This window comes from Homo sapiens, chromosome 16 (assembly GCF_000001405.40).
Source record: "Homo sapiens chromosome 16, GRCh38.p14 Primary Assembly".
NCBI lineage: Eukaryota > Metazoa > Chordata > Mammalia > Primates > Hominidae > Homo > Homo sapiens.
The window spans coordinates 71,099,554-71,126,964 of record NC_000016.10 but is presented as its reverse complement, the minus strand read 5'-3'; the positions used below and the strand labels follow the sequence as shown (position 1 = coordinate 71,126,964).

Sequence of the window (27,411 nt, the reverse complement as noted above, 5' to 3'; positions counted from 1 at the left end):
CTACTATTTCACAGACTTCTTGGCACAAATGCAAGCCAAGGGTGCTTTTTACTGTTGAAATTTTGGTTTTCCGATTCAGGTAAATAAATGCTACAGTAGTCTCAGATGAGTGAGTTGGGAAAGGATTTTTAGAAGAAATGCGATCTGAACTGAAGATTGGAGGAAGGGTAAGATTTAATTAAGTGGAAAAGGAGACAGAGAATGTTTCCAATTGGGAAAATTACAAAAACAAAGAAACATATCCGAGGCAATTCCGTTCTTCCTGCTTCTGAAATAGAAATGGGCAGGACTCACTAGTGGCCTACCCCCAGCCCCCTCCTGACTGCCATGTTGTGGTCCCAGGGCCACCCATCCTCAGGAGGAGCAGTCATCAGCCTCGATCTCCACTGCAGCTGGGAAGAGACTTGGACCACGTGGACCTTACCAGTACATCTAAGATTACCACGACTGACAGCTCTTCCCTGCCTCAGCCCAGCTCAGCCACCTGGCTGCGTGCACCAATGATTCCTTCCTGACCTTTCCATGTCTCTGGTCTTGACCTATTTACATTTTTGGTCCTCATCTTGATCTAACCCATTGTATGTGGAGATCCCTTTGCTCACTTGAGCCCTGGATAGTCCTCTGACATGACAGAAGTTTCAGCCTCGACACGCATCTCCAACCTTCTTTCCCTACATGAACACTTGACTTCAAGCAATGTTGGAGAATGTTTCCAATTGGGAAAATTACAAAAACAGACCATTAGGGAAGGAGCTACCTGACCAACCTACTGTGCTTTAGACTGCAGGCTGCCATCTCCCACCATGCTTTTGCAGAAACACTGGATCTAGGGGGTGGTCATGTGCGTTCCTTGCAAAGAGGGAGTTCTGTGGTCAAATAAGCTTAAGAAATACTGGTTCAAGAGAAGGTGACTCTCCAAGCAATGGAGTGCAAGCAGCATTTCCCTGTGACCACAGACTCCCCCTCCACAGAGCATCCACTGGGGTCCATGTTCTGTGGAATGTGGACACAGACAGAGGGTGAGATGGGTGGTGCAGGTCAGATAGTGGAAATGCCCAGTGCAGGAAGGGTCAGAGAGACTGACCATCTCTGTAGGCAAGGTTGGGTGATGCATGAGGCTGCTGCTGACCTGGAACAGCCCAGGGGTGGTCAGAAAGGAAGGAAATGGCAGAAATCTGAGATGTTCAAAAGAAAGACACTAAAGTGCTTTTTGATCAACTGGCTGTTGATGGTGAGGTGAGACATTGTGAGGAATTTCATTTGTGTTTCTCCAAAGCTGTGCTGAAGATATTGGGAGAATTATGATGTCTTTGATAGAAAGGAGCAAGTCAGGAGTCCTCAGTTTAACTGCTAGCTTTGCCAATAGCAATATAAGCTTAAACAAGCCATTTGATCTTCCTTGGCTTCAGTTGCCTTGTACACAAACAGGGTATTGCAGTTAAGTCACATTGATCCTTTTTGATCTACAAATGCTGACTCTCCAATTTAGGATCAGACTCTGAGCTTCTTGAGGTCAGGGAGGTCCTTATCCTCATTTGTGGCCAGTGCTAATAAACGAATGAATGAATGAACAAATTTAAATCAATAAATGATGACGAGTTTGGCTCTGAACATGTTGAATTTGAGATGACTATAGATATCCAAAAAATTTGGCAAATGCAGGACTAAAATTTGTGGGAGGGGATTCAGGACTGGAAGCAAGATTTGTGAGTGTGCTGTGGAGATCTTCACTGAAGCCATGAAAAGCAGGTGAAAACTCTTAAGAGCAGAGCGAAAAGGAAATTGCAGAGGGCTGAAGAGGGCCTCCAGGCCCTCACATTTAAAGGCTCTGCAGAGAGAGGAGAGGCTGTGACTTCACAGAGAAGGCATCAGGAGGCGCGCTGGCCAGCTGACAGCCTGTCATGGCTTACACATTTGTCTACACCTACCATGCATCATTCAGCACCATTTGCTTCTGAAGGTCTCTTCTGAATCTTGCTCACTCTCAGGTCAGTTGTGCCAAGTGGCTACTACTTAATTTCTGAGAGTGGACCTATGCATCGGTGATTGGTTATTTCTTAGGGTGTGATTCATTTTAATTAGCTTGTTGATATGAGTTGAGTTCACAGTAGAAGCAGAGGAGATTGGAACCAAGCAGTGTTTCCTGCTAATCTAATAATCAATCTCTAATTGATACTCTGCTCAAAAAGTAAAAAGAAAAGAAAAGGGTGATGAAGAGGCTTAGAGACCACCTTGCTTTCTGATGGACTCTTCAGCTCCTGACTACTGAGGAAAGACATTGTGTTCAAATGAGTTAAACTTAAAAAGAAAAACTAAAACTATTACCTCAAGGTCTGGAAAGAAATAAGAAACAGGCTTATTTTCTCAGACCTATATCTATCTATCTCACATCTTCAAATGCATCAGAGAAAACAAAAGGTTAGTTTAGTCCTGGTTGTGTTCCCTGCATATCAAGTATTTTATGGAAGCATTGTTCCTGTTTCAGAGGCTCTTTCAATTTAAAGCAAGGAGATTCAAGATCAAGAGATTAGACCCTGTCCCTAAGTTGCCAAGAGGCGATGATTGGTTTGAATTTAAATAAAATCTTGTGAACAGTATCATGTGAAAAGCAGTTTGACTCAATACTATAAGAATGACAGACTCAAAACTCTAGAACTGCAAGTCCTTCCTCTGTCTTACCACCTGCCAACCATGTGGCCGCAGGTTGTGTCCCTTCCGTCACCTTCTCATCATGCTCATCATTTAACAAGGCTGTAGGGTCCATTGCTCAAGCCTTGAGGAGTTAGTCTTGGGCATCCTGGGCATTGATGTCACTGCACAGTACCAGGGCTGCTTGGTTCCCTCTCTTCCTTGTGATCGAACAGACGGAGGCTGGTAGCTGCTCCAGGGCTCAGAGGTGGGAGTTTGTCTTTTGAGAGACCCCAGAGGTGTTCATTGGTGGAGAAAGGGAGTAATGACCCAGAGAATATTAATCTGTTCTCACGCTGGTGATAAAGACACATCTGAGACTGGGTAATTTAGAAAGGAAAGAGGTTTAATGGACTCACAGTTCCATGTGGCTGGGGAGGCCTCATAATCATGGCAGAAGGTGAAAGGCATGTCTTACATGGTGGCAGACAAGAAAGAATGAGAACCAAGTGAAAGGGGTTTCCCATTATAAAACCATCAGATCTCATGAGACTTATTCACTACCATGAGAACAGTATGGGGGAAACCACCCCTGTGATTCAATTATCTCCCACCAGGTCCCTCCCACAACATGTGGTAATTATGGGAGCACAATTCAAGTTGAGATTTGGGTGGGGACACAGCCAAACCATATCACAGAGTGACCACAGGCAGAAGACAGTCCAGTACAGAGGGCTGGGAGGAATTTTTAAAAATCTTTACTTGATAGTTTATTTATATTGTTGAAGCATCCGAAGAATTGTTTTTCTAGTCATTAAAGCATGGGATGTGTTATCATTGTTTCTGTCAAGTTTTTCATTAGCCTAAATTTTTCCATTTGTTCCTTACCTAGGGAAGGTACTGGGTTCTGTAGAATACTGATCATTCTCAAGCCACCTATTTCCATATGGGTTTTTTTCCCCTTTGGAAAAGAACTGCCAAGTTGAAGTTCTGTTATGCATGTTTTGTGCCTTCCAGAAAATCAAGTGTAATTGGCTACTTTCAGAAATATAATATCCTATTTGTATTGGATGGACTCTGGCTTTACAGAATGTTGACAGTCTCATTCTGTTATTTTCTCTGCTTGGGTCTCTTGGGTACCCTGAGAGGGAGAGATTCAAAGATAAAAAACAGTCCTGAGAATTGAAAAGCCGAGAGTATCATAGGGCAGAAAGAGAGAATCAAGCTTTTGCTTTCCATGGGCATCGAGGAGTCATTTGAGGAATGGCAGCACAAATGTGCTGGCCTTGTATCTGAACCCTGATGCTGCTGGCTGAGGTCACGCTTTGAAGATGCAGCAATTTTCTGAATACTGAACCCTTGATATTTTCCCAAAAAGAAAGGTCTGAGAATTTAAAGGTATTTACCTAAACTGCTCCTAGCTGATTGACGGACATCAGCGAGCAGGGGAACATTTCTGCTTCTATTAGCAAGTGTCTCCTCGATCAAAGAAAACTTCATTTGGTATCCCTAGGGAAGCTTAAGCTTAATTTAACTAAGCCTTAAAAAGAGAGAGAAACCCTGATAATTTCTTTATTACCATATAAGTAATAGTAAACCATGCTTTGTCGTCATCTAAGCCTGCAGAAAACGTGCTGTTCCAGCAATTCAGACTTTGAGAGCACAGCTCAAATTTAGTTTACTTTATTTTTCCCAAGCGGGCATAGCATGTGAGCTCAGCAGAACCAGGTTGGGTGGAAGTCCAGATGGCTAGCAGAGAAGAAAGACCCAGCTTTTCACTACACACTCCTTCCACTTCTCCTACCATTATAGCCTTGAGTCACATTGCAAACATGTGGAAGCTGACTCTTTGGAAATGGAAGCCAGAAAGGAGAAAGAAGGACAGGAATCTGCTGAGAGCAAACTGGCCTTGACAAGTCACAGCTTCTCCATCAGTGTGGTTTTCCCACTCCTCAGCCTTTGTTTATCAGGATCATCCTTTCGGATCCTTGTGCTCAGCGACACTTTTTCCAATTGTTTGGTACATTCGCTGTTGTATTGGAGAACCAGTATAGGTGGCAGGAGGCCTGGGGAAGCCTTAGAAACAGCATGGTTCCTCGGGGCTCATTAAATAACTTAACAACCTTCCCTGCTAGACAAGACACAGTTCTGTTCTCTCCAGAGAAAGGCATGAACATCACACACAACTACCTCCGCTCTATAGAACCTCTGTGCACTTTTCACTGTATTTGGGTTGGAGGTGAGATCAAGATAGAATACTCCTTTTGTGAAGCTTCCTCTGACAGAAGGTGAAATCTTAGAGCCCTCTCTTAGAAACTTTTATGGTCATTATTTTGAGAATCATAACTTAACTTGATTCATAGTTTCTTGTCCCAGGAAAATAATGAAGCAGAAAAATCTCTTTGCATGTCATGTGTCAATTTGAACTTTTCTGTCAGTGATAACTAAGATGGTTTGGCGTCAGTTTTTTAGCTTCTATTTTTCTGTTCCTCTTTGAGACAACTGCTGTTTGCCCTGGGTGACGTTATAGAGAGCCATGATTTCTCTTATTGATCTGGAAGGATCTAGACGAGCAGTTGTGGGTAATGAAACGGATTATAGCTTCTATAATCTATGGGTTTTTTTGCTTATTCTTTGATAGAAATGTGGCTTTTAGAGCATGTTTTCATTTCCCAAGAGAAATTCTTTATGTTGATATTTTTCTAATATTTTAAGGAAAACTATAAGATAGCTGAAAATATTTGTTTATGTGGTGAAGAACATTTCCATTTGGGTGAAACATGGTAGAATTCATCACCTATTATAGTTACTCTTGACATCATTATTCACCCCCGCTGCTGTGAGCTGACTGGACCCTGACCTTCACCACACCAGGATAGCTTGATACAGATCCACCATGCATTTCTCAAGAGCTGCAATGTACTAATGTTGACTTTGTCATCCAAAGGAACCTCCCATGAGTCACCTTCCAGAAGTAACTGGAAGGATACAAGCATGCAGGGGGCCGTGCTATGTTTTCCAGACAGGAACACCAGGTCTCACGAAGCCTGCTTGAGTTGTAGTATTTTTCAACTTCTTCTGGCCTTTTTTATGATATTGTGAAGAAGTTGAGGCCTGACTCTTTTTATAATTGCAGTGGGTTTAGAGAAGTCAGGGAAAAAATTATTACAGAATCTTAGCTCTGCTACTTAAACTATTGGTCTGGCTTTGGGTAAGATACTTCTTTTTGCCTTGATTTTCTCATCTTTAAAGTAATAATACTACTTCACAAGGTGGTAGTGATTGAACTAGTTAATGTGTATAAGCACTTTACACAGTGTGGAACATGAGCTCTCAGTGGGTGGTTACGTATATTATGATTTGTAGTTAAATACATTTGTCTTGTCAGATTAGAGAGTATGATTGGAAAGCATAGTATTTGAGTGGGCAAACGTGGATCATTCTTCTAAATGTAAGTTGGGAACTAGAACATAACCATTTTATTTGATAAATGTAAAAGTTGAGTCGTAAACTACTTTTTAGATAAACCAGGAAAATTACATATGTATATAAGTCTCTGTTCTTGCACTTTGGTTTTTTTTTTGGGAGGGGGGCAAGATTTGTAAGAAATAATCTTTCAAGGAAGGAAGGAAGGGAGAAACGAAGGAAAGGAGGTAGAGGGGTAATAGAGGGGAAGGAAGGCAATTTTTTAAAAAGATGTTTGTTTAAGGATTTTCAAGGGAGTTTTTTTTAAAGATCCCCTGTAAGTATTGCTGATATAATTTTTAAAAGGTGAACACTTTTAAATGACACCTTTCTCATGATCATATTTATCATCTATCACAAACCAGTGGCTGTTTGTTCATAGACAGCTTTCAGAAAGTCTCAGAACTGTGGCCATCGAGTCACTTGGTTGTTTATTCTTGTTCCAGAAGGAAGCATGAAACTCCGTGTCCAGAGATATTTAATAATTTGGGCAAAAATCGCAATATGGGAATTAGCTTTAGGCTTGAAAATTTAAAGTTGATTTTTTTCTAGTAGGTCACTTTATTAATAAGTAAAATGCAATTACTTTACTCATTGCGAATCTGAAAGAAAACATTAAGACCAAGAAGGAAGATAATTACAGTATAACTGAAGGCCATTTTGACAATTCTTTTCAACAAAGAAGGTCATAGTCACTTACAGATTCAATCCTATGTACTCAACCTCTCATTTGGAGCAGGAAAATGGGCAGTCATGGGAGAGGGGTCACATGTAGAAGGCTCGCAGAATGGGGGACGCGGATCCGTGTGATGAGGCAGGTTTTGTAGAACTGGGAAGAAGGGATATTGATGTCAGAGCCAGGAAGGAAATTTCTGGATGTTTTGATTTTCAGAAATGTTAGAACTGAGTAATAAAGAAAGAAAGTTTTTTTTTGCAGAGACATAAATGACATGGAATTTAATTTCAGAAGTGTTAAAGAAGTCATATGAAATCTTTCAAAGACGTGAAACTGGAAGTGGGGTCTAAAGTTGAGGCTTGTTACCTATTTCTGAGGTTTGCTCTCCCATTTGATAGAAAATGCTATATTGAGTTTTTGCTATAAGGAAATAGAAGTTCTTTCTCTTTTACTTAAATCCCAACTGAAAAGTAGAAATATCCTGCATGTTCCTAACTCCTTCAAATGAAATCACATTGAAAGCATCCTTCTGTGAGAGGAAACCGAATGAGCACGCTGTTTTCAGGTACACACAACCGTCTTAATACACGGTACCTGCTCCAAGCCCAGGAGAGGAGTTTAGAATAAATAGGGTTTGTCCTTCCTTTATCTCTCGGGCTCAGTGAAGGCTGCAAGTTACAAGTGGATGTCACAGGCAGAGTAAGACAGCTGCAGCCCACAATAAGTAAGCACTGAGCCCACAGCTCCATTTGCTCAGTCTGAACCCTGTCGATTCGGATTTCTTTGTGCTGGTCTTCTCACCAAGCAGAAAGGCTTCTCCATCTCCCAGGAGCCTCCACATCAGATGATCTCTCACTGATGGCTTCCGAATGTCAACGCTTCCTCCTCTGGAGAGATTCCAGTCACCTCTCTGGAGTGTGTCTACCACCACTCACTCCCATCCCTCCAGTTGTGCTAATCAGACCTCTTTGATGATGGCAGTCCAAGAGTGTTCTAAGAGAAACTGAAGTGTGTTACCCTCTTCTGCACATGGACCCTGGATTGCTGGGATCATACTTTTGAAAGCATTCCTGGTCCACTTCAAACCATAAGACCCTGACTTGCCCACATGCACTGAGCTTATGTGATTTCCAGTGGGGGCCACTTCCTACAGTTCTGGTGAGACTTCTCTAGCCTGGGTTCTCTCAGGATCTAAGATAGCCCCTGGCCCTTTGGTCATTCCATTTGTGTAGGAGCAGGTTAGCGGTGTCCATTCTGTTTACCCAAACACAGCAGAGTATTAACCCACCAAAGGAATATGTTTGTGTCATGGGTGAGTAAGAAGCCCAGGATTTCAGTAGTCCTGAGATGAGATAACTACTGATACACCACTGATTGGCTAAGCTGCCTCATCTGCCTGGCCTTGCCAGTTGAGTCTAGCCATGAGTGTTTCTAACACTGCATATCACTAAAACCCCCACCAATCAAAAGGGGCCAGATATTTATCATTTATCAGAAGAAAACAGATACTTATTTCAAGATTGGAAAGGTGCCACAGTGAAATGCCTAAATACATCAAAGTGCTTAGGACTTCTCTGTTCCTCATATGCTCTCATAGGTCTCTTTTGGCTCTACAGTTGTGTGACTTTTGAGGTTCTGGATGAAGAGAAAATGGTAGAAGTAGGTTGCAGAGATGAATAGGTGTCTGCTACTGACTACACAGTGTGCAAACTGAGTAGATATTGCAGATTCAACAAATATTTATTGAGCACCTACTAAGAGCCATGAAGATTGAAGCTTCCCTGAGGGTAGTTGCTGTTCTGCCCCTACCCAAACCAGGGATGGCTTACTCTGGTTTGGGTGGGGGTAGAACGGCAGCTACCCTTATGGAGCCTTCATTCTCACAGGCTGATCTGGGGATGTGAGATCTAAAGGAAACTAGGATGTATACGACATTTTAAAATGTACATTGAGTGACTATTCACTGTCTGCCCAATGCATTCCCAGTACCAGGGCTTCAGAGAAGCAGAAAGGTGTGGGCCGTGACTGCAGAGAACTCAAACCTTAGTGGGATGATAAACATATATACAAACATTTTACAGTAAGTGCTGTGTCTATATAAATACAGCCCAGAGGGGGTCACAGAGGAAGAAGTACTTGACTTCCTTGGTGGAGGCACCACGTTTCTAACTTTTGAGGTGACAGCATAAGGAAACATTCTTACTCTATAAAAACAGAGCAATGGCCCGAGGTATCATACCTGCATAATATTTACAGCCCTCTCTGCTCCCCCTTAAGCCCTTGTGCCTCCTTCATTCTGAAGTTAGGAAAGACACTGCCTGCAAAGTATACTGATAAGACTGATTGTGTTAATTAATAAACCCAAATTGGCTCTAGATTTTTATTTTCTCCCTCTTGTTTGATATCTGCATTTTTAAACCATTTTGTTCTTTTCGACATTCTTTATTCCAGAAGTATGTTCTTTCTAGCCAGACTGCAAATAGAGAATGCACCAGGGACTGTCTGGAGCTGGAGCCTAATTATTTATCAAGTTGTCTTTCCTTAGTTTTCTATTTAGCTGGCGGGACTGTTTATAGATTTCTGGATGTGTTGATCGTTTATGCTCACTTGGCCCTATTTACAAAAATCATACAAAAAACACACACATCTTTTCCCCTTTTCAATACTTTCATCTTAGTCCTTCTAAGTAGCACAAAAATAACATCGATCATAGTAGTCAGTTATTTACTGAGTTCTGACTGAGCATGGGGCAAAGTGTTTGACCTGCATGACTTTGTCAGACCTTAGGAACCCCTTTGAGGCAAGTGCTATCAGCATCTCTTTTTACAGCCTTGAGAAGCTAATGAAGAGGCCGCAGATTACATAGTTAAAAATACTAATCAAAGTATACCTAACAAGGAGATTCTGATACATTGCATTTTGCATTACCATTTTAAAACTTGGTTTCCTGATTATGACTTTTTGGTAGTTCCAATTAAAGGGAGAAATGCCACACTGGAGTAGAAGCAGGGTTTGACCAAGCTATTGTTCTACCTTGGGCCATTGCTATGTTTTTGTAGAGTAAGAGTGTTTCCTTATGCTGTCACCTCAAAAGTTAAAAACGTGGTGCCTCCAGCAAGGAAGTCAAGTACTTCTTCCTCTGTGACCCCTCTGGGCTGTATTTTTATAGACACAGCACTTACCTCATATACTGTTAAATGTTTGTATACATGTTTATCATCCCACTAAGGTATGAGTTCCCTGCAGTCACAGCCCACACCTTTCTGCTTCTCTGAAGCCCCGGTACTGGGAACACATTGGGCAAACAGTGAATAGCCACTGAATATACATTTCATTTTAAAATGTCTTATACACCCTAGTTTCCTTTAGTAACTCATTATATGTTCATAAATTCACTGAAGTTATCTTTGAAGTTTGTTTCCAACTTGTACCACCTCATAAGTTATCAAGAAGTATACATTTACTATCTGCTGGTGAAAGAATGCTTTCTTGTACTTATTAGAAAAATGTTGTCTTTAAGTTTCCTGGAATTGAACCCTTGTACACTGTTGGTGGGACTGTAGATTGGTACGGACATTATGGAAAACAGTATAGAGATTCCTCAAAAAATCATAAATAGAACTGTCATGTGATCCCACAATCCCTCATCTGGGTATATCCCCAAAGGAAATGAAATCAGGATCTCGAAGAGAGCTCTGCACCCCCATGTTCATTGCAGCATTATTCACAATGGCCAAGCTGTGGAAGCAACCGAAGTGTCCAGCGACAGAAGAATGAAAAAAGAAGTGTGTACATACAATGGAATATTATTCACTCTTACTAAGAAAGAGTTCCTGCCACTTGTGACAACATGGATGAATCTGGAGACATTGTGCTAAGTGAAATAAGCCAGACACAGAAAGACAAATACCACATGATCTCACTCATATGTGTGTGAAATCTTAAAAAAAAAAAAAAAAAAAAAAGGTCTAACTCATAGAAACAGTTTGGTAAGAGATTGGTGGTTACCAGGCATCAGAGGGTGGGATTGGGGGCGGAAATGGGGAGATGTTGGTCAAAGGGTACAAACTTGTAGTTATAAGTTCTGGAGACCTAATGTAGTGCATGGTGACTATAGTTAATAATAATGTATGATATGTTGGGTACTTGCTAAGAGAGTAGACAGACCAGGTCCTCTCACCACGCACACACAAGTTAACTATGTGAGGAGATAGATGTGTTGATTTCCTTGACTGCAGTAATCATTTCACTATACAAATATATATCAAAACATGTTGTATACCTTAAACATATACAATTTTATGAAAAAAAAATTTATTGGAGTTTTAATGTAATAACACTTACAAGCAGTGTCTTTCTTTTGTCATATTGTTTTTTAATGATTCTTTCATGTTTTTCAGGAAGGTGATGTCTGGCCCAACTCATCAGCTGAAATCACCGTGTACTTTAACCCACTAGAAGCCAAGCTCTATCAACAGACCATTTACTGCGACATTTTAGGTAGTGACCTCCTCCAAGTGGTAAACTCAGGTTACCAGGCACCCAGAGCATGAAGTGTGGTGCCTGAGTGTGTGTGTGTGTGCACATGTGCATGTGGGATCATGCCATGGGCGGTACATGATATTGATTATATTGATTAGGGGAATTATGGAGCCAAGCTATGCCCCTCTCACTTCTTCCTATAACAGATCAAACTTTAAAGTGCTTTACAATTATGGTGGCATGTGGAGGAAATGGAAACTGTATTAGTCCATTTTCATACTGCTAATAATAACTGCCCGAGATTGGGTAATTGATAAAGGAAAGAGGTTTAATTGACTCACAGATCAGCACGACTGGGGAGACCTCAGGAAACTTACAATCATGGTGAAAGGCAAAGAGGAAGCAAGGCACCTTCTTCACAAGGCAGCAGGAGGGAGAAGTGCCGAGTAAAGGAGGAAAGAGCCCCTTATAAAACCATCAGATCTCGTGAGAACTCACTCACTATCACAAAAACAACAAGGGGGAAACTGCCCCCATGATTCAGTTACCTCCACATAGTCTTTCCCTTGACACGTGGGAATTATGGGAATTATAATTCAAGATGAGATTTGAGTGGGGACACAAAACCTAACCATATCAGGGACCATGGCTCTTAGAGCAGTAAAAATATTGCTTATGACCAATTCCCACAATCTCCTTTTTTGTTCCTTTTATAGTATTTGGTTACTAATTTTTTTTCTTTTTAAGTTTTACCAAAATAATTCCAAGTGGGATGGGAAGGCAGCTTGGCAGAGGCCAGAGCAACCAGGAGGGTGCACAGGTGGGATGGCAACCTGATGATGACATCAGGAGATTTGATACATACAGGGAATTAAGCAGAAAAGTAAATACATTGAGGATGATGGGAACCAGTATTTCTCACTCTTGGAGGAAGGAGATACAAACATGGAAAATAGGGTGAAGCCAAACCCTTTGAAATTGGAATGGAATTAGAGTTGTCAATGTGAACTCAGAGTTGTTGAGTTCACACTGACATGTATAGATAGATATAAAAATAAATATACATGTAAATGTGTGTATATGCATGTGTACATGCATGTGTGTATTTCCTAGCTAGGTCCATTGAGAAGTCCTGGAAGCTTTGAGACTCTATAGCAGTGAGCACACCAATCACCCAAAGCTTGGTTTCTAAATGCCACTCTTTAGTGAAAGGAACTGCTTAACTTCAGGACCAAGGTAGGGAAAGAATAAGATGAGCCTGGATTATCTCCTTTGCTAGACGGTAAGGAAATGCTCAAAGAATGATAGGCACATGTCGAAATGACACAGAAGACAGCAAAGAAACTCCCACTGACCACATTTGGAATGAGTCAAGAATCAAAATAATGATACTAATAGATTATTATAATCCATTGAATAAATAGGAATCTGTGAATCCATTTAATGTACTACTTGGCAATCATCATTGCAATAACCAATTCAGGTAAAAGCGTCAGTGGATCTTAAGAAAATGGGTGAAAGTAGGACATGGAATAGTCTCAAAACATCTTTCCTCAAAATACTTTTTATGAAGGGGAGAAAACTAACTTTGCAGTGAAGAAGCCTGGGAGATGCTATCTTGGTTTATCCCAGTAATAATACAGCAAATCAACCTCTCAGATCACATGCCAGGATGCAGTGAGAACACAGCATCCCTTCTATGATATCAGGGCCAAGATACCTAAATTGGATCTAATCAGGAGGAAACATCAGGCAATCCCAAATTGAAGAACAAAATAAAATGACCAGCCTGTAATCTTTAAAAATATCAAGGTCATGACGGCCGGGCACGGTGACTTCCGGCTATAATCCCAGCACTTTGGGAGGCTGACGTGAGAGGATTTCTTGAGTCCAGGAATTCAAGATGGTCCTGGGAAACATAGTGAGACCCCATCTCTACAAAAAATTAAAAACTTAATCAAGTGTGGTGGTACATGCCTGTAGTCCTAGCTACTCAGTAGGCCAAAGTGGGAGGATCACTTAAGCCCAGAAGTTTGAGGCTGCAGTGAGCTGTGATTGCACCACGGGACACCAGCCTGGGTGACAGAGTGAGACCCTGTCTCAAAAAAAAAAAAAAAAAAAATCAAGATCATGAAAGTCAAGAAATCCCGAAGAACTGTTCCAGGTTGAAGGAGACTAGAGAGACATGGTAATTGGGTGCAGAATGTGATCCTGGATTGGGCCCTTTGCTATAAAGGACATTATTGGGCATGGGATAGATATTTAATAGAAGTTCTTGTATTACTCTGGAAACCTTTCTGCATTTTAAAAATGTTTCAGAATTGTGTTTAAATGCCAATGCCAATAAATAAGTAAAACATGTAGATAGTAAAATTATGAAGCTAAATGTTAGTCTGTGTCACCACTGCTACTTCCAAAAACTTCTTTTGGCTGTTTCTTGTGATGGTGGTTTCCCTTGCCAGCTCTATGCTTATGTTGCTTTTGGTGGATTTATTAACTTCGTACATTTTCTTTTGACGCCCCAGTATGAAAGATGAGGGTTTAGTTCACTTTTCGGTTCCTAGGTTTTTCCCCTTCCTAAGTTTACTGAGTTAGGATTTACATGCAGTGAAATTCATCATTGTTTGGAGCATGGTTCTGTGAATTTTGACAAACCTAAATAGTCATATAACCACCAAAATCAAGATGTGGAAATGTGTATCTGAGATCACCCCATAAAGTTCCCTATGCTTCTTTGCAGACAATCCTGTCCCCCAGCCTCAGCCCCTGACAACCCAATTGTTTTATTTTATCTTATGAGGTTTATTTATAGCCTTAAATAATACACTTAAGCCTGTATTTTTTGTTCCATCAACTTTACATTATCTCTTGATGTGTAAGGATTTTGGTGCCTATAACTAGGTTATCCCCGACTAGTCCACTAGCCTTCTCCCTCTAACCTCTGTGAGCTATTCCATTTTTACATAATCATTATTGATAACCACTGTTAAGTCTTCTTCTTACATAAATATTATACACTGCAGAGCCAAATAGGTTCTGGGATTACATTTTATCCTGTTTGTTCAGTGCTCTGGTTCCTAGTCACTCAAAGAATGTCCCTAAGGTCCATATCAAGTATATTCTTTCTTTACCAATTTATCAGTTACTCACAACTATGCCTCATTTTAGTTTACTTCTTAACTGACTCTTTTGTACAGCTTTTGATTTCCCCCCTGTGGTTTCTAATTCCTTATTTCTTCACTCCTATCTAATTTTATAATTCATTCTCTTTTTCTCTTTGAAGATACTGATCAGAGCCTATCAGCTTCTTATTTTAATTCAGATCAGTCACCTCCTGAATGAACAGTTGTTATCCAGGAATTTTAAAAAATATTTCTATGTTCAGTCACACCTTTTCATTCTCAGTCTGCTCAAGTAACTTCCTTAGAAATGATGTATATAATGTGTGTATGTAAATATATGGAAGTGGAAACTTTGATCCTTGAATGCCCGAAAATACCTTATTTTGCCTTCATACTCACTTGACAGTTTAGCTGACTATAGGATCCCAGGTTCAAAATCATTTCTCCTCAGAACACTGGAGACTTTGTGACTACTTGATTGTAAAAAATTCCAAAGCCTGAGGTCATCTAATGTCCATTCCTTTATAGGCAGCCTCTTCTTTTTCTCTGGATGTTTTGGGGGCCTTCTTTTCATATTTGGGGTCTGAAATGTGATGAAGTCATGTCCAGGAGTGGGTTTTTCTTATTCATCCTCCTCAGCCTTCTGTGGGCCATTTGAATCTGATGACTCACATCACTTCAGCTCTAAGAAATTTTATTGTGTCTTTGATATTCTTTCCTCCATTTTTTTTCATTTTATTTGTCTGGAAAACCTGTGAATCCAATGTTAGACCTGGAAGATTGATCATTTGTTGTCAAAGAACAAGATTTTAATCATCAAACACTACTAAGAAATGACACTAAATTTAATTCAAGTCTATGCCTAGAGAAATACTGATGTTCATGAATCAGGAAAGACGGCAGGAGTGTGCTGCATAGCTGTAGCTCTCCGCAGCCACCAGCAGACCTGTGGCCAGCACCTGTGGCATCATTCCTGATGTGCAGAGCCACCGCCCTGAACTTAAATAGTCCGCTTGGTACATTACTGCTATTCAGTTATTCAAATGGCAATTTTCCCTTTTATACAGATAACAACAACAAACCCAAGTTACTCTGACTCAAATTGTTTCCCTTTGCAGTTGAGACTTTCCTTGGCTGTCTTGAACAGGTTCAAGAAAGCATTTTGCCACAGTGGTTTCCGGGCATCTTCCATTTTGGAACTTTCTTGCAGAGGTACAAGCAGGTGTTACTCAAAAACTTGGAAAGTTTTCTTCTTTGTGGTCAAGGTGAAGCACTGAACTTTAGCATTTGCCAATTGCTTTGCAAGAGACTCAGCTCAGTTTTTTTCTGAATACTTCCTAGCGATCTTTCATTTCTGCAATAATATTTTTAATTTTCAAGACCTCTTTTGTCCTCTATTCCTGTTTCATAACTAAGTGTTTGTTTATGGATGCAACTTCTTCTCATTGATCTGGGGATAATCATTTGAACTTTCGTTTCTTAAAAAATAAATCTTATGTTCTCTGAATTGCCCATAATGTTCAGCTGTTTGTCTTTCATGCATTCATGGGGTTCCTTCCAATGCCTTCTGGTCCATGGTCATTCATTCGTATGTAAGAATGAGAAAATGGCTTTCACGTTGATGGTAGCTAGTGCTGCTTACCTCTGCTGTTTTATATCTAGGTTTCCCAGGAAAGTATGGCTGCTGTGTTTGTTTTAAACCTGGGGGGAGAGTATAAGAGTGCACTGTCAGCAAGAATGCACATCATTTGCATCCTTCAAGTGCAGCAATTCCCCTATTCTGCCACACCGTGCTGTTTTCGGTCCATATCTATGCAGTCACTTTTTTCTGTGTAAAAGAGGCTCAGGCAGTCTAGGAATGTGCAGAAGTATGGGCTCCCTGACCCAAGCCTGTGCTACCCTGCACCTCCCCCAGGTGTGTGTTTTCTCCCAATGAAGTTTCCCTCACCTTCCCTCGATAAAACCATCACCTTGACTTTTATGATAGTTGTTTCCTTGCTTTCATGTATAATTTTGCCACCTACATATTCATCCCTAAGCAAAATAGTATAGTTTTGCCTGTTTTGGAAATTGATATATTGATATATATATATGAAATATATATATTATATATATTTATATATGTTTATATATATTTATATATTATATTATTTATATATTTATAATTATATATAAATATATTATATATAAATATATATATAAAATATATGTATTTTATTTTATATATAAATATATATAAAATATCTATAAATATATAACTTATTTAGATATAAATTTTTATATATTTATTATATTTATTATATCTATTATATATTATGTATATCATAATTATATATAATATAATATATATATACACACATACATACAGGACTCATCCTGTATATCTTATGCTGCTAGCACCAAGAAAATAAAGCTACTCAATAAATGTTGATTAAATGAATAAGCAAATAACTGGAAAAAAATGACTAAGTGAATCCTGTTTTGATTTGACCTCTCCCTTGCATGTGAATGCAGAATTCTCCAGACGTCCCCAGAATGAATGCAGAATGGACTAGGAGTTTTTGGATTGACATAGGTCTGTCTCCATCCTGCAGACGAGCATCACCTACAATGGACAACCTAATAGGTCTAGAGGAAATGTTAGCACAGCAGTGTCAGACATGGGCTGGAAATGCTCCAGTGGCCCCTGTGCCACAGGTGGTGGGACCTCCCTCCCATCTGCAACTCCCTGTGGACATTGTGCTTGGCCTTATTCCAAGGGGTTGGCTACTCTCCAGGAGGTTCCCAACCATTACACAACAAGTGAGATTTCCCTATTGTTTTGTTTGTAATTCTGAATTCTCCCACAGAATTCACATCCTGGGTAAGCCGAATAGTATAATTTTCCATCTGCATGACATTCTTCTGTATTTTGTTAGTGGATTATTAAAAGATATGCTTGCCAGGGAAGAGCTTTGCTTACATAGTAATTCCATATTATCTTCCCTGTAAATTCTGTGCAATTCTCTGTGTCTTTTCAAGAGCTGCTGATGATTCCTTACTATTATCTTCAATGAGTTGGTAAAACCTCTTGGTCTTAGGTCACTAAGAAATACTTGTTAGACAGATAAAAAATCTCCTTCCCTTGTTTTGTTTTGTTTTCCTTTGCTTTAAGATAAACGTGGCATGTAGAAGCAAATACGTATAAATAATTCTTTCCTCCTCATGTCGTTTTGCGTAAACGACAGTATACTTTACATAATGGTTTTAACATTGCTTTTAAAATATTTCCCAGGGATTATATACAATACTAAATAAAAGATGTCATTCTTTTCATGATTGCATAGGAACCCTTTGCATTTACATACTGCAATTTAATTTTTAACCTTGTGTCATTATTGAATAGAATGCAGATTCAGAAATTACATAATACATTTAGTGGTAAGCACAGAAGTGGCCTCCCAAAGATGTCCAGGTCCTGACCCCCAGAATCTGGGGACATGTTACATTAAATGGCAAAGATGAATCAAGGCAGCAGATGGAATTAAAGTTACTAATGAGCTGACTTTAAGATAGGGAGACTATCCTGCATCATGTTGGTGGCTCAGTATAATCACAAGGGTCCATAAATGCCCAAGAAGTAGGCAGAAGGATTGGTCTCAGTGTCAGAGGTCTGTGATATGAGAAAGTCTCAACCAGTCATTCCCAGGCAGTAAAGATGGACAAGGTAAGGAATTCAGGGAGCCTCCAGAAACTGGAAAATGCAAGAAAATGAATTCCCCCTACCCCAGGGTCTCCAGGAAGGAATGCAGCCCTGGGAATATGTTGATTTTAGCCCAGTGAGACCCATGTTGGACTTTGTTTCTAGTTGTGTATTTTCATCTTAAAAATTTTTTTTTAATTGACAAATAATAACCATACATATTCATGGGGTACATAGTGATGTTTCAATATGCATAATATACAGCGATCAGATCACTTTGGACTTTTGACGTCCAGAACTTTCAGATAATACATTTGTGCAGTAAGCCACTAAGTTTGTGACAGTTTCTTGTAGCAACGATTGGAAACTTATACACATACCGGTACATTATAACAAATAATTATAAGGCAAGCACTATGTTATTGCCACCAAGATCAATAATAGAATATTTTCAGCCCCTAGAAGCCTCAGTGTGTTCCTTCCCAATCATACTCCTCTCACTGCAGCCTCCCCTGGAATCACCACCATTCTGTTCTTGATGACCATCATATCCTTGCTTTTTTTGTTGTTGTTTTTTGTTTTTGTTCTTTTGCTTAAGATTTAAACAAAAAATTAACTTTTAGGTTCAGGGGTACGTGTGCAGTTTTGTTTTTGTTGTACAGATTTTTGTCACACAGGTTCTAAGCCTAGTACCCAATAGTTATTTTTCCTGATCCTCTTCCTCCTCTCACCCTCCGCCCTCCACTAGGCCCCAGTGTCTGTTGTTCCCCTCTTTGTGTCCGTGTGTTCTCATCATTTAGCTCCCACTTATAAGTGAGAATATGCAGTATTTTGTTTTTCTGTTTCTGCATTAGTTTGCTAGGGATGATGGCCTCCAGCTTCATCCACATTCCTGCAGAGGACATGATCTCATTCTTTTTTATGGCTGCGTAGTATTTTGTAGTGTATATGTATCACATTTTCTTTATCCAGTCTACCATTGATGGGCTTTTAAGTTGATTCCGTCTTTGCTATTGTGACTAGTGCTGCAATGAACATATACATGCATGTTTTCATGGTAGAACAATTTATATCCTTTTGGGTTTATACCCAGTAATGGTATTGCTGGGTCAAATGGTAGTTCTATTTTTTGTTTTTTGAAGAATCACCACACTGCTTTCCATAATGGTTGAACTAATTTACACTCCCACCAACAGTGTATAAGTGTTCCCTTTTCTTTACAACCTCACCAGCATCTGTTATTTTTTGACTTTTTAGTAATAGCCTTTCTGACTATATGAGATGATATCTCATTGTGGTTTTGACTTCCATTTCTCTAATGATCAGTGATATTGAGCTTTTTTTCATATGCTTGTAGGCCACATATATGTCTTCTTTTGAAAAGTATTTGTTCATTTTTTTGCCGACTTTTTAATAGGATTGTTTGTTTTTTTCTTATAAATTGGTTTAAGTTCCTTATAGATGCTGGATTTTAAATCTTTGTCAGATGCATAGTTTGCAAATATTTTTTCCCATTCTTTGGGTTTTCCCTCTTTAGTCTGCCCATAGTTTCTTTTGCTGTGCAGAAGCTCTTAAGCTTTTTTTTTTTTAATTTAATTTTACTTGTTTTTTATTATGCTTTAAGTGCTAGGGTACATGTGCACAACGTGCAGGTTTGTTACATATGTATACATGTGCCATGTTGGTGGGCTGCACCCATTAACTCGTCATTTAACATTAGGTATATCTCCTAATGCTTTCCCTCCCCCCACCCCACAACAGGCCCCAGTGTGTGATGTTCTCCTTCCTGTGTCCATGTGTTCTCATTGTTCAATTCCCACCTATGAGTGAGAACATGCGGTGTTTGGTTTTTTGTCCTTGTGATAGTTTGCTGAGAATGATGGTTTCCAGCTTCATCCATGTCCCTACAAAGGACATGAACTCATCATTTTTTATGGCTGCATAGTATTCCGTAGTGTATATGTGCCACATTTTCTTAATCCAGTCTATCATTGTTGGACATTTGGGTTGGTTCCAAGTCTTAATTAGATATCATTTGTCAATTTTTGCTTTTGTTGCAATTGCTTTCATGTATAGTTTTTACCCAATGTATGTATCTCTAAACAATACAATTTAGTAATGCCTGTTTTGAAATGTACATATCTGAAATGAGCCTACATGTCTCATCTATGTTGCTACTTTTGCTCTAGTTGTATTTCATTTTCATTGTTGTACAGTGTTCCATTATGTAAATATATGTTCAGAGACAGGAAAAAACAGGGAAGGCTACTGGTCATAAGGGAGGCCTCTGAGGATGCATGAGATTTAACCCACGTCTCCAACTGCAATCCTCTTTTCTTTTGAAAGCTTTTGATATCTAGGCACCATGAGTAGAAAGAGGTACAAAAGCATAGTTCCTGCCCTGAGAAAGCATAGAATTCAGTGGAGGAAACTGACACATAGCCAACAGTTATAGTGCACTGCTACTATAGAAGTTGATTATTATTATAGAAGCGGATACAAGGTACACAGCTCAGGCTTGGGATGTCAAGGAAAGCTTTCCAGAGAAAGTGACCCTTGAAGTATTTGTGAAGCACGTAAAAACATAAACAAAGGCTGGGCATGCAAGTCAGGGAAATACTTTGTGAAAATACATGAAGAAGCATTATGTGAAAATACATAGCAAGAACATGAAGTGGCAAAGAATTGCAAGTTCTTAGTGTGTGACTGCTATGGAGATTGAGAGAGAGAGAGAGAGAGAGGGAGGGAGGGAAGGAAAATGAAGCTGAAAGCTAGAGTAGTAGGTAGGATCCATTCATAAAGGGCTGCCCTTGGATGCCAGCCTAAGGACATTGGACTTTCTGCTGAGTACAGCTGGCAGTCACTGAAGCACCCTAAGCATGTTATGGCAAATATAACATCATGAAAAGCCTTTCCATTAATCTGAAACTGAATAATTTTTCTGCATTTTAAGTCATTCTGTTTTCTTAGAAATAGTTAAATCTGTATGCTAGATATTTATAAAGACTTGCTGATGGTTTGATCTGGCTCTTGAAACTGATCTTTCATCTATTTTGACTTTCTAATGGAATGTGGAAATACCTAACTTTATCAGGAAGATTACCTTTTTAAAAAAATGCAAAGGGAAGCTACATATATTTGGTTTGGATCAGCATATGGGAACTTCAAAAAGAAGTAATACTCTCTAATTTAAACTGTGAAATGCATTGCTAGGTAACATTGTGAAATGCATTGCTAGGTAACGGAGTCAAATGCAGAAAAGCAGCATGGTGGAAATGATTCCAGATGCTCCCACTTCCTTCAGAGACCCAATTAAGATGAAACCTCATTGTCCATTTGCTTTCTGTGAGTCATAAAAGGGAAAATTTTGAATTTTAAAGACAATTCAGGGCTTCTGATTTTTATCTTAATTGAATTAAAGAATGGAGATTGAATTAGATTTATTAAAAAGAAAATCACCCCAATCATTGAAAACACTTTTGAGTTTTCAGAGTAATAAGTAAGTAATATGCTACATATTGGTTACTCAGCATCTCTCCAATGTTGTTTTCCTCTTATCTCAAATTTCTCCTTTTGGAATTTTTTTTTTTAGATATATGTGTTTCCTGTGGAATTACCATGTCTCTTAAATGTCTCTGCACATTTCTGGTCTCACTATGATGTATTCTGGGTATTTTTCTAAGATCTTTCTTCTAGTTGACTAATTCTTTCTTCAGCTATATCTACTCTTCAGTGTATTCATCTGTTCAGTTTTTAATTCATTGACTTGGCTTTTTATTTTTAGAAGTTATATATAGTTTGAATATTTTCATATTTTATTCCTTCATTATGCTTTCTATTTCTTCATTTATCTCTTCAAAGATTTTAAGAATGCTATATGAGACTTTTTTTTATTACCTCAAACTCTTAGGATACCAGCTCACATGTTTGTAGTAATCACTGATTTTCCTCCTACTAGATTGTTTCTTCAGATGGCTTGAAATGTTTGTATTATGAACTCAATTTTAGCTTGGGTACCGAGTTATGAAACTATTCCCTCAGAGCAGATTTTTATTTCTTCTGCCAAGGGTCCTGTGATTTTTTATTTTCTCAGCTTCTGATTCTCGCACCTATCAGATAGTCTAAATTTCGATCTCATATGTGAACATGGGATTTTGATTTATCATAGGAGGCTCTCCCTCCTATTCAGAATTCTAAGTAGAAGACAGGCTTCATCACTGCTTCCCTAGACCAATGAGTAGAATTATTCTAGTTGCCTTTGTGAAAAGAGGTAGTCTTTCTACGGTCCTGGATTTATGCTAGAATCTTAGTTTAATTCTCCATTCCCAGATGGGAACAAGGCTGTGTCCTCTCTCTGTGAGGGTATAACTGGACCCACTAAACCATAAGTTCTGTATCTACTCTACACATCTCTGGGCCTTCTTTGGGTCATCTCACTAGTTTACTATGCTAGCTGAGTTCCCTTTTTATTTCTAGAACCTGTTATTTTCTTTCCTTTATTTTGAACCTGGAAAAGCATTAAAAATATTTATTTGCCATGTTTTTAATCAATTCTATTTTTTTTTGTATTTTGGGTGGAAGAATGGACTGCATCAGTTAACTTGGACATACCATCAGAAGTTAATGTTATTAATTTTCATATCTTTCTCAAAGTAATGTCCTTAGAGAATCTGTATCAGAATCCCCCTGGCTACTCATTAAGAATGTAGATTCTTGGGTTTTATATATGTTTTATTGAATCAAAATCTGTGGAGACGATGCTGGAGAATATTCATTTTAAACAAAGCCTACAAAGTAAGTGTAGTTAACTAGTACAAGGTTGCAGGATATGAGATCTATACAGAGGACTGAAATTTTAAAAGGTAGTATCACTTACAATAACATTGAGAAATATAAAATAATTAGAGATAAATTTGACAAAATGTATACAAGACCCATATACTGAAAACTATGAAAGATTAATGAGAGAAATTAAAGACCTAAACAAATAGAAAAATATAGCTTGTTCATAGATTGGTAAATTCAATATGGCTATTCAATAATATCTTAATGACATCTTAATGCCATTTCTCCCCCAAATTCATCTATAGATTTAATTGAAATCAAAATTAAAATCCAAGATGGTTTTTTTGTAGAAATTGACAAGCTGATTCTAAAATTCACATGGAAATGCAAACAACCTAGAATAGCTGAAACAACTTTGGAAAAGAAGAATAAAATGAAAGGACTCCTACTACCAGAGTTCAAGATGATTTTTAAGCTACCATAATCAAGATAATCCAGGATAATCTCCCCATTTCAAAACTCTTAATCACATCTTTTGACTTATAAGGTAATATTTACAGATTCAGGAATGAGGATGTGAATATCTTTGGGGGCCATTATTCAGCCTGCCATAGATCTCATGTGGATTTCCAGCTGTTTTAGCTCTTTACACTAAATGATCCATCTTTTCTCACTGATATTCAACATCAGCTCTCTCATAAATCAAATTTACATAATAATTTTATGTTCACATTATAGTATATGAACGCATTTGTATATAAACACAAAGACACTTGCAGATTAATCTTATTTGTGTCTCAATAATTCAGTAAGGTAGGCTGGAATTATTATCTTTATTTTACAGATGAGAAGGCTAAAGCTTAGAGAATTTAGGTGAGTTTATCTGTGGGGCTTCTTAATCCAAGATTTGAATTCTAGGTTGTGACAGTCCTGGTCCCTGTCCTGTACCACACTACCCCATAAAGACATGGTTCCGCTGAAATAGTGCAACCCATATTCCATTCTTGTAACTCTCAGAAACAGTCAGGTTCCCAGCCCATCCAGAAACTCTATCCAGTTTTTCTAAAACATTTTAAAACACCTATATAACAACTCATCAAAGATTCCTGTATAACACAAGGCATTTAATATATTCAAATTACCTCTATAATGCTTAAATAAGTAAGTATATAAATGGGTGTATTGGTTTGTAGCATGTAAAGATACTGTACAATTTTAGACATGAATTACATTTTCTTTCTGCACAGCTGTAAACATGAACTGTAATACAAACAATAAAATAAGTATTAAAGATTCTAAAAGTCTAGGATCTAAAGATTTTGTCTAAATTATTCCCTGGTTGGTAGTTGCCCTCAGTACCTGGCAGAAACAAATTCTAGGACCCATGAAAGACTAAACCATCAGGGAAATTGTGGGAAGATGAGCTGATAATGCATAACACATTTTAAAGAGGAAAGCACGAAACAAATCTGTCTTGTCAGAACAGCTGAAGGTCGGGCTGTAACACACAATACATTTTACTGCTGAAACTCAAGCAAACATAAATGTTTTTGCTGGCACATGCATACATTCATATCATACTTATAATATTGTTTTCATTTAGATAATGAATTTAGGTAAAACAACTTACATCATATTATTATTAAATGTGAAAATTCTGATAATGAGCTTTGGGGTTCCAAGAAATACCCATATAATAAACAATTTTGTGCACACAAACACACAACAAAATGTATTAGTTAACATTTCAGCAAGTTTTGTGTTTTTAAAATTTATATTGAAATTACACAAAATAATATTTGTATTATATAGTTAAGATATAAGGAATAATAGTAAGATAAACAACTGTGAACCTGTCACCCACGTTAAGAAATGGGACTCTACCATATTTTAGAATATCTGTGTCCTTCTGTTTCCTGCAGAGAGGTAACTATCCATTTAAAATTTTGTGTAGTCAGTTAATCATTTCCTTGGTTTTCTTCATACTGCTTTTTAGCCATATGTGGGTATAACCCATAACAATATATAACTTATTTTTGCATATTTCAAACTTTACATAAATATTATGATACTATATTTGTTTTGCTGAGATTCACTCATGTCATGCATGAGACTCTAGTTTAACAGTTAATATTCTATTATTTGAATATATAAAAATTCCTATCCAGTTGGACATTTGTGTTGTTTCTAACTTAATGCTGTTATGCTATTGAGAATAATGCTCTTATGAACAGTCTTGAACATGTTTTCAGGTACATGGTGCCAAATTTTTCTAGGATATATCCCCAGGAGTGGCAACTCCAGGACATACAGGATGTATACACTCAGGTTTACTAGGTAATCAGACTTCTCCAAAGGGGTTGTGCCAGTCTACTTTCCTACCTGCAGGAGATGTGCCTATAACCTTACTCCATAACCTTGACTTCTCTTAGTATTGATCAACTTTTAAAATTTTGCTCCTCCACTAGTTGTGAAATGGAATCTCACTGTGGCTTTGATTAATATTTCTGCAATTATGAATTTCATTATGTTAATGAAAATAGCATGTTATATTGGCTGGCCATTTGTGTTTCATCTCCTGTGAAATTCGTATTTGGCCTTTGCCCATTTTTCTATTGTGTTGTCTTTGTATTGTTGATTCATAGGGGCTTTTGATGTATTTGGGATGTAACTGGCTTGATATGTCCTGCAAATATCTTCTCCTAGTTTGTGTCTTGTCCGTTCACTCTCATTAAGGTGATTTTAGTGAACAAGAGTTTTAATGTAATTGCATTTGATAATCTTTTATTTTATAATTTGCTCACTTTTATTGTTAAAATCCCTTTCTCTACACCAAGTTGGTAAAGAGATCATTCTATATTTCTTTCTAAAAAGTTTCATAGTTTACCATCACATTGATCCAACTTGAGTTGACTTTTGTGTAGAGTAGATGGGAGGGACTCTGTGTCAGTTTGTTATTGCTGCTGAAACAAGTTACGAGTTACTTAGTGACTTAAAACAACACACATTTATTCTCTTACAGTTCTGGAATTCAGAAGTCTGAAATCAGTTTCACTGAGCTAAAATCAGGTGTCAACAGGGCTGGTTCCTTTTGGAGATTCCTGGGAAAAATTTGTTCCTTACTTTTTCCAGCTTTTAAAGTTGCCAGCATTCCATGGCTTGTGGTTGCATCACTCTAATCTGGTTGCATCATTGCATTGTCTTTTCATCTTCTGTGTCAAGCTTCCCTCTGCTTTCCTCTTAAGGACATTTGTGATTATATTAGGGCCCACCAAGATAGTCTAGGATAATCTCCCCATGTCTAAATTATTAATTTAATTACCTCTTTTGACATATAAGGCAACATTCACCCTTTTGCCATATAAGGCAATATTTAGATTCAGGAGTGAGAATGTAAATATCTTTGGAGGGCATTATTCAGCCTACCGCAGATCCCATGTGGATATCAGCTGATTTAGCTCCCTACACTATGTAGCCATCTTTCCTCACTGATATTCAACACCTACTCTGATATAAATCAAATTCACATGTATTTGTGCATCTATTCTGAGTTTCTCTTCTGTTTCCTTTGTCATTTTGCACTTTCTGCCCCAGTACCACACTATGTTAATTACAGTAGCTTTCCACTAGATTTGAGTTTATGAAAGGGCAAGTTCTCCCAATTTGTTTTTCCTTCGGCATGTCTTCTTTTTATTGGCCCTTTGATTTTCCATTTAAATTTTAAAATCAACCCACCACACTCCACCAAATTCTACCTGCTGGCGTTTTGTTTAGCAGTACATTGAATTTATAGATATAAATCTGTTGGGAGAAAATGGACACTCTCGATGACATTGAATCTTCCTTTTCAAGAATATAGTCTAGTTCTCTATTTATTCATTCATTTATTTAAATCCTTGTTAATGTCTTCCCATAAAGTTTTACAACTTTTGCTTTGAAGTTTTCAAGTATGTTTTGTTGATTTATTTTTACGTACCTTATATTTTTGTTGCTATTATAAATAGAACCTTGAAAACTAAATTTTTCTGACTGTTGCTGGATATAGAAATACAGTTGACCTTCGTAAATGTTTGCTAATCCTGAATCTTACTCTCTTGTTTATTTTATTTTATTTATTTTTTGAGACCACTTCTTGCTCTGTTGCCCAGGCTGGAGTGCAAGTGATGTGATCATAGCTCACTGCAGCCTTGAACTCCTGGGCTCAAGTGATCCTCTTGCCTCAGCCTCCCAAATAGCTGGGACTACAGGCTCACTCCATGATGCCTGGCTAACTTTTTTAAAAAGTTGTAGAGACGAGGTCTTGCTATGTTGCCCAGGCTGATCTTGAACTCCTGGCCTCAATTGTTCCTCCTACCTTGTCCTCTCAAAGCACTAGGATTACAGGCATGAGCCATCATACACAGTCCCTCTCTTATTAATTTTAAAAATTTATTTATAAATTCTTTTTTATTTTCCAGGTTGACAGTCTTAATATGAGTGAATAATGTCTGTTTATTCTTCTATTTATACTTTTTTCCTCTGAATTTTTTCTTACTGCACAGGAATGGAACTCAAGTATAATATGGAACATC

The 27,411-nt window shown here is 38.3% G+C and overlaps 1 protein-coding gene across 4 annotated transcripts in view; it reads left to right on the top strand.

The window, feature by feature from the left end:
- Positions 1–27,411, top strand: part of HYDIN (HYDIN axonemal central pair apparatus protein) — a 428,639-nt gene that overhangs the window by 103,758 nt on the left and 297,470 nt on the right. For all 4 annotated transcript variants that reach the window (NM_001270974.2, NM_017558.5, NM_001198543.1 and 1 more), the window contains exon 10: positions 11,170–11,269. In NM_001270974.2, coding sequence (NP_001257903.1) covers positions 11,170–11,269 — 100 coding nt within the window. The remainder of the gene's footprint in view (positions 1–11,169; positions 11,270–27,411) is intronic.